The sequence below is a fragment of the Homo sapiens genome, chromosome 9 (assembly GCF_000001405.40).
Source record: "Homo sapiens chromosome 9, GRCh38.p14 Primary Assembly".
Classification (NCBI taxonomy): domain Eukaryota; kingdom Metazoa; phylum Chordata; class Mammalia; order Primates; family Hominidae; genus Homo; species Homo sapiens.
The window spans coordinates 106,598,988-106,607,205 of NC_000009.12; the positions used below are offsets into that span (position 1 = coordinate 106,598,988).

Consider the following 8,218-nt stretch of genomic DNA (forward strand, 5'->3'; position numbering starts at 1 on the left):
GAAGAACATGGGCAATGGCAAACATCTTTGGCAAATACTAATAACAACTTTACAAATCCGACTAATCTCTGTCTCCTCAGCTCCGCTCACTAGATCGATACTGGAATCTATTATTTTAGTGCATTTCCACCTCCACTCTCCAAACCGTATTTCCCCAGAGACTCTACAGTTCACTGATTTTTTAGCTTATTAAAGTCATACCACTGATTTCTCATTCTAAAATGTTCTTACAACAATGTGGTTAAGAGAATGGGCTCTGGAGTGAGAAAGTCCAAGATGTGCATCTCTGCTTTATCAGTGATTAGCTGCATGACCTAAGGAACATTATTTAATACATGGGAGCCCCACTTTTCTCATATTTCTCATCTGAAATATGAGTATAATATCTGTTATCTCAATAAATAAAATATTATTTTCAAATTGTTTATCACATTGCCTGGCACATAGTTAGTGGTTAATAAATATTAGATGTTTTATACTAAAATATGATATTAAGGTTCCTTCTAAGCCCATGAGTCTATGATTGAAGCCAAATTATTAGTCCAGAACTCACTGGTATCCTGGGCAGGAGGGGGAAACCAACAATTTCTTATTGAGCAGTTGCTATGTGCTTGGCTATTTAAAATTCATTGTCTGCTTATCTTCATAGCACTCCCAAAACAGTTTATTAGTAATCCCTTTTAAACATGAGGCCATTATTAGTTTATTAGTAATCCCCTGTAAACATGAGGCTACAAAGTTTAAGTCATGTGCCTAAGTTACAGAGAGAGTAGCTTGCAGAGCTGGGACTAATCACCTCCGTGTGTTAGAATCTGAGCTGTACAGAAGGCTTTGTCCTTAATCTCTACACTGCTTATGAGTAAACCCCCGCATTACGTCTTTCACTGGAGATAGCACTTTTCTGTTGCTTCTCCTTCTGCCAAGATGGTGTTTTACATGGATGCTAAAACCAGGACTGGAGATCTGTTGCCTGTACAGAGCCCACAAAAGCCTAAACAAAAGAGTGGTTTGAAGGTCCATCTCTGCTTGGTGGTCTATAGTTTTTCAGTATTAATAATCAGTAGAGAACCGTTTCTAGAAAAACTGCAATGTTCCACTGAGTTCTGGATTAATGGTTTAACTGTAGTTATGGGGTTAGAAGAGACCTTAGGATCCTATCCAAAAGTCTGCTGAATTGATTAAAGCCAAACATTTAGAAAGATATGGCTTCATAGACAGTTTTCTTTAGGAGGTTCCACACCATGCTTTGAAAGTAAACCTCACCTTGTCTTAAAGATTCAGTGTTTTAAACCTGATACCCGAGAATCTCAACTTCCCTTTTACGGAATGGCTGAGACTTATCTGTAGAGGAGGCACACCCAGTTAACTCAAATGCTCATCTGGAATAATTGCTCACAAGAAAGTGAGAATTGGATGATAAAGTTGAAATAACCATAACCGTTGAAGAAAGACGGCACTTCTCATTAATAAAATCATCAGGGAAGGCAAAACGTTTGAGAGGTAAACCCCAAATATCCAGAACACAGACCTAGAAGAAAAGAGGGTACAGGAAGTCCAGGAGATCTTCAAATGTGCCATTCTGATTTTTGCAGTGGTCAGTGATTACAGGGCGCATCGCAAGAGGTTGAAAGCTGAAGAAAACAGCGGGAGTCCATTAAAAGTTATCTGACGGGCTCAGCTTTAAAGATCATGAAAAAGAGATGGAAAGAAGGGCATGTAACCACAGAATCAAATGGGAAAATGGTACAGAGGTGCCCAGAAAATCAATAGAGGAAGTTCTAAGGGGATCACCCTTGCTGGTTTATGCCTTCATCCAATTGTTTAGCAACATCGATTGAACATCTGGCTCTACCAGGAACTGAACAAAGACTTTCCCTCAAGTGTGAGCTTGAGCGTTAGGTTCTTCAGTTCCTTCTGATTCCCTGTGATCCAGCTCGTGCTTATTGTCTTTATTTTCTGAGTCTTGCCTCTATGGCCCCCCTCCTCTCTGAAAGCAAGGCCACTTGAGTCGTGCCTTTCTGAATGAAGTCAATGTCTGTGCCAGTCAATGCACAATTGTCGCTTATGACCTTCCTGAGGTTTCCTGTTTCCTCCTAATACATTAGAAGAACAAATCAATAAAGTCTGTGTCCCAGTACCTTGGGTAACTGCCATCTTCATGGTTACATCACTATCCAGGGTGACTGTGAAGCAGTGGGGCGCTTAACCCCAGGAGCAGTGGGAGGACTGGGTTGGGCTCATTGGAGTCTCACACAGGGATGGTGAAATGGCTCCTGGCTGATATAGAAGCACAAGACTCCCCCACCACATGGTGATTTGTATTCAGCAGCAGCCCCCTCCCTTGGCACCAGGCAGATGGGTCCCCAGGAGAGATCCAAGGAAGAAGGAAGGGGCTGTTGTCCTTGACAAGGAAACGATTGATGTCTCTGCTTTCTCACCCTCTTTAAATTGAGATGGGGACAAGATTAAAAGTTCAGGCAGGAAGCCAAGTGGTGATTTACAACACTGAGCAACCAGCCTAGTGTGTGAGGAAGCCTGTGGTCCATCTCTCAAGAAATGAGCTGCCTGGATATTTGAAATGTTCACTATTCTTGCTAGAATCTGGACATTAAGGCCCTGTCATGACAATAATAATGACAAAAATAGCAAGGAAAAATAAATAATAATAAACCCGATATATTGTATGTTATATGCAATGTCCTGTATTTTATAATTGTTATCTCTAAATTCTTACAATGATAGTGAAAGGCAGGTACAATTACCCCCATTTTATAGATAAGGTAACTGAGGCTCAGAAAAGTTAAGAAACTTGATTGAGGTAACACAGTTAGCAAGGAGTAGAACCAGGATTCCAAGCCAAGTAGCCCTGGCTCCAAAGCATGTACTATTCTGTTGCACTGCATTGGCTGATGCATAACGACATGGTTGGCTTTTCTCAGGACATAGATACAGTTGAAGCACAGTCTCAGGACACAGATACAGTTGAAGCACAGTCTCAAGTTGGTGTGACCACCTGCTTAGTTAAGGGTTCTCTGGGGTGTATGAAACTAGGCCAGGCCTCTTGTTGCTTAGGTGCCAAGGGTGATGGAGCTCACTCCCTCTGTCCTATGACACTGCAGACTTTGCTGTAGGAGCCTTTGCAGTCCCTTGTCCTGCCTTTGGCTTTGTGTCATGTAGTGGAACCTCTTTCAGTTGTAAAGTTTTCACAGGGAGAGCAAAGCCAAAAATGGGGTTAGGAAAGGGGTATCAAGAACAGGCACTGAGAAATGTGTCTGACACTGACATCTCTAGCAAAAGTAAGGACAGTGGTATCAAGGTAGGTCAAGGTCAGGTATCAAATGGACAAGATATCAACAATTTATAAACATTATGTCCAGGATAAAAAAGGGAATGTATTAAAATAAATTAAAGGTAGATCTGAGGTCAGAGTTGTCAGGAAGATGAGACAGGTAATAATAAGACCAGTTAAGGGAAGTAGAAAGTAGGTTGTTCTAGAAACATGAGAACTTTCATGAATAGTTTATGACCATGCAGGGTTTCTCTGTAGAAAGTTCCACACCCTGCTTTGAAAGTAAACCTCACCTTGTCTTAAAGATACAGTATGTGAAACCTGATACTTGACAATCCCATCTTCTTTTTTATGGAGTGGCTGAGACTTACTTGTAGGGAAAGCACACCCAGTTAACTCAAATGCTTAGAACACTGTAGTGGAAGGTCAATGCACGTGATCAATCCCCATGAGAGCCAGTTAGGTTAGTTCTGTCTCAATGCCACATCCCAGCCTTCAGCCTTTGGCAGCTCTCTGGGGGAAATAAATGCCATTAATTAGAAGGGGCACCAGGCAAGTTTGTGTGTACTGAGCAACAAAAACCCATTCTTTCTCTTTGAAAGGATCTCAAAGCTCACAGTGAAACAGCAGCATGTTCCTTTCACAAGGACAGCAGAGAATTTGGGGGTTTATCAAAGAACATAACCATCTCATTTCTCTCCAAGAGATAGCAGATTTAAGGTCTAATATGATTATTTATGTTTATTTAATTCACAATATGATTATTTAATCGTGTTGCATTGATCTTTGAACTCCTTTAATTCAATAACTTTGAGTTGCTCTTCTCACACTCAAGTACAAATAACTAGACATAGACACTTCACAGATCGGCAGATTATTCTGCATTGCCCTCTCAATCTCACCTATTTTTTTAAAAGTTTTTTTAAACTATAACTCTTTTCTGTGCTAACATAAAGCATGCTTCCTTGGCCTTTTAGGCAAAAATATAACCTTGAGGATCCCAAGTGAACTTGTCTTCATTTAAACTGGAGAGATTACTCCTTGGAGGTTTTCTGTGTCACCATGTCTTCCTTCTTCTCACTTTGCTCACTCCTATTGGGTGAAGTGAGCTTCATCTGGTATTTTATGATTTGAGTGGTTAATTCTTCTGATTCTGAACAAAAGACTACACTTCATTCTGATAATTTGTACCCTCCAGGCTTTCCTCCTGAGTAGTTCCTTTCCAACCTCTTTGGAGAATGATGGGAAAAGTCTATTTACTCAGTACTCCTCATGGGTGAAAGCTCTTCCAAGCTATAAATAAAACAAATTTAACTTGTACAGGGTTACTAATGCTATGGAGAGACAAATAAAGGAGCTTGCTGCCTTCTGGCTGCAGGAATCAGGCCAAGGATTTTCACAAAATAGCCCAGGACTCTAATGTATGAAGAGTCTTATTATGATAAGAATTTAACAATAATAATTCCATTTTTGTTGCAGACATTCTTATTCAAAAGAAAGAACACCGAAATTGACCTTACCCTGACAATATGATGGCTGAAGGATTTATGATCACTTATAACATTTGAAATTGAGGCGGAACCTGAAGAATAAGACTCTGGTGAAAGGTCCTATTTATGCTTTTGATGTCTTTCACTTGGACATTTACCACATGCCTATTGGTAGGTTTGTTACATAGGTCAGTTAAGGTGATACAAGAATAAATAAAACACTATCCCTATCCTTTAATATCATTTATTTATGGGGTCAATCACAGATTTTCATTTTTCAAAATCTTTGATAAATGTCAGAATTATGTTTTTTAATATTTTTACAGAATTATTACAATATATGGTAGAGGATGGAAGGCAAGGTAGTATGAAACGGAAAAGATATTTTGAATTAAGGTATTTGGACCTGGATTAATATTTTTGCTTTGGTCTTTATTAGCTGAGTGACCTTGAGAAAGTTCTTCTACTAAAAAAGAACAAAGATAATAATTACTTCATGAAATTGCTGTAAAAAACACATAACAAGTATATCCAGACTCAACAGTGTATGCTCAAAAATGCAGATCCTTTTTCCCTTACCTGCAAATAAAGTCTTACAGTAATACAGTGGGGGTAAAGGTTTAAACTGGTGGATTCAAGAAGGGCTATAGAAAGAGGTAGCATCTTAATAGGGGAAGGAGAGGATCCAAGAAATCAGATCCATTTTCTACAAAAAGAAATGGGAAGACAGATAATTCAAGAAGAAAAGTTTACATGATTAAAGACCCGAAGTTAGAAATAGTGATGTGTCTCAATAGTAAGTTAGGAATTGGGGTGGACACAATTGTTGGAAGAAGGATGGTTTCAGCAAAGGCCCAAGTTAGGTGACAATTTCAAGTGTTTGTGAAGATATATGAACAAAATTATAAAGTAGTTAGGGTATAAGAAATAGGGAGGAGGGAATGAATTAACATTTATGGAGTGTCTTGCATGTTCCAAGCACTGTACTACTTGCCTTATAAACCTTTCTTCAATAAACGCCTACAACAATCCTGAGATGTGGAATTATTAGTTCCTCAATGGACCCAGAGAGTTTCAATTATGTGCTTAAGAACACAGAGTTAGTAAAGGACAGAGACAGAATTCAAATTAAGCCTATGTTACTCCACATCCTATGCATTCACTAAACCTCTCAAGAAAACCAATTTATTGGACCTTTTAATCATTTAAGAATGAGATGATAGGGGGCGGTTCCAAGATGGCCAAATAGGAACAGCTCCAGTCTACAGCTCCCAGCATGAGCGACGCAGAAGACGGGTGATTTCTGCATTTCCAACTGAGGTACTGGGTTCATCTCACTGGGGCTTGTTGGACAGTGGGTGCAGGACAGTGGGTGCAACCCACCGAGCATGAGCCGAAGCAGGGCGAGGCATCGCCTCACCTGGGAAGTGCAAGGTGTCAGGGAATTCCCTTTCCTAGCCAAGGAAAGCTGTGACAGACACCTGGAAAACTGGGTCACTCCCACCCTAATACTGCGCTTTTCCAACGGTCTTAGCAAATGGCACACCAGGAGATTATATCCCGCACATGGCTCAGAGGGTCCCATGCCCAGGGAGCCTTGCACATTGCTGGCACAGTGGTCTGAGATTGAACTGCAAGGCAGCAGCGAGGCTGGGGGTAGGGCGCCCACCATTGCTGAGGCTTGAGTAGGTAAACAAAGTGGCCGGGAAGCTGGAACTGTGTGGAGCCCACCACAGATCAAGGAGGCCTGCCTGCCTCTGTAGACTCCACCTATGGGGGCAGGGCATAGCTGAACAAAAGTCAGCAGAAACCTCTGCAGACTTAAATGCCCCTGTCTGACAGCTTTGAAGAGAGTAGTGGTTCTCCCAGCATGGAGTTTGAGATCTGAGAACGGACAGACTGCCTCCTCAAGAGGGTCCCTGACCCCTGACTGGCTGAACTGGGAGGCACCCCCCAGTAGGGGCAGACTGACACCTCACACGGCCAGGTACCCATCTGAGATGAAGCTTCCAGAGGAACGATCAGGTAGCAACATTTGCCGTTCAGCAGTATTCGCTGTTCTGCAGCCTCCGCTGCTGATACCCAGGCAAACAGGTCTGGAGTGGACCTCCAGCAAACTCCAACAGACCTGCAGCTGAGGGTCCTGACTGTTAGAAGGAAAACTAACAAACAGAAAGGACACCCACACCAAAACCCCATCTGTACGTCACCATGATCAAAGACCAAAGGTAGATAAAACCACAAAGATGGGGAAAAAACAGAGCAGAAAAACTGAAAATTCTAAAAATCAGAGCCCCTCTCCCCCTCCAAAGGAATGCAGCTCCTTGCCAGCAATGGAACAAAGCTGGACTGAGAATGACTTTGATGAGTTGAGAGAAGAAGGCTTCAGAAGATCAAACTTCTCCGAGCCAAAGGAGGAAGTTTGAACCCATCGCAAAGAAGCTAAAAACCTTGAAAAAAGATTAGACGAATGGCTAACTAGAATAACCAGTGTAAAGAAGTCCTTAAATGACCTGATGGAGCTGAAAACCATGGCACAAGAACTACGTGACGAATGCACAAGCTTCAGTAGCTGATTCTATCAATGGGAAGAAAGGGTATCAGTGATTGAAGATCAAATTAATGAAATGAAGCGAGAAGAGAAGTTTAGAGAAAAAAGAACAAAAAGAAACGAACAAAGCCTCCAAGAAATATGGGACTATGTGAAAAGACCAAATCTACGTCTGATTGGTGTACCTGAAAGTGACTGGGAGAATGGAACCAAGTTGGAAAACACTCTGCAGGATATTATCCAGGAGAACTTCCCCAATATAGCAAGACAGGCCAACATTCAAATTCAGAAAATACAGAGAACACCACAAAGATACTCCTTGAGAAGAGCAACTCCAAGACACATAATTGTCAGATTCACCAAAATTGAAATGAAGGAAAAAATGTTAACGGCAGTCAGAGAGAAAAGTCAGGTTACCCACAAAGGGAAGCCCATCAGACTAACAGCTGATCTCTTGGCAGAAACTCTGCAAGCCAGAAGAGAGTAGGGGCCAATATTCAACATTCTTAAAGGAAAGAATTTTCAACCCAGAATTTCATATCCAGCCAAACTAAGCTTCATAAGTGAAGGAGAAATAAAATCCTTTACAGACAAGCAAATGCTGAGAGATTTTGTCACCACCAGGCCTGCCCTAAAAGAGCTCCTGAAGGAAGCACTAAACATGGAAAGGAACAACCGGTACCAGCCACTGCAAAAACATGACAAATTGTAAAGACCAGTGATGCTAGGAAGAAACTGCATCAACTAACAAGCAAATTAACCAGCTAACATCATAATGACAGGATCAAATTGACACATAACAATGTTAACCTTAAATGTAAATGGGCTAAATGCTCCAATTAAAAGACACAGACTGGCAAATTGGATAGAGTGAAGACCCATCAGTGT

At 41.3% G+C, this 8,218-nt stretch overlaps 1 long non-coding RNA gene and 1 other non-coding gene across 7 annotated transcripts in view; both read left to right on the forward strand.

Moving 5' to 3' along the window:
- LOC107987108 (uncharacterized) overlaps positions 1-5,814 on the forward strand; it is a 675,821-nt gene extending 670,007 nt beyond the window's left edge. For all 6 annotated transcript variants that reach the window (XR_007061713.1, XR_001746870.2, XR_007061714.1 and 3 more), the window contains one exon: positions 4,769-5,814. This is a non-coding gene — a long non-coding RNA (uncharacterized LOC107987108). The remainder of the gene's footprint in view (positions 1-4,768) is intronic.
- On the forward strand, positions 1,941-2,035 carry MIR8081 (microRNA 8081). The gene has a single exon (NR_107048.1). It is a non-coding gene; the product is annotated as a microRNA 8081 (primary transcript).
- Positions 5,815-8,218: the final 2,404 nt, after the last annotated feature.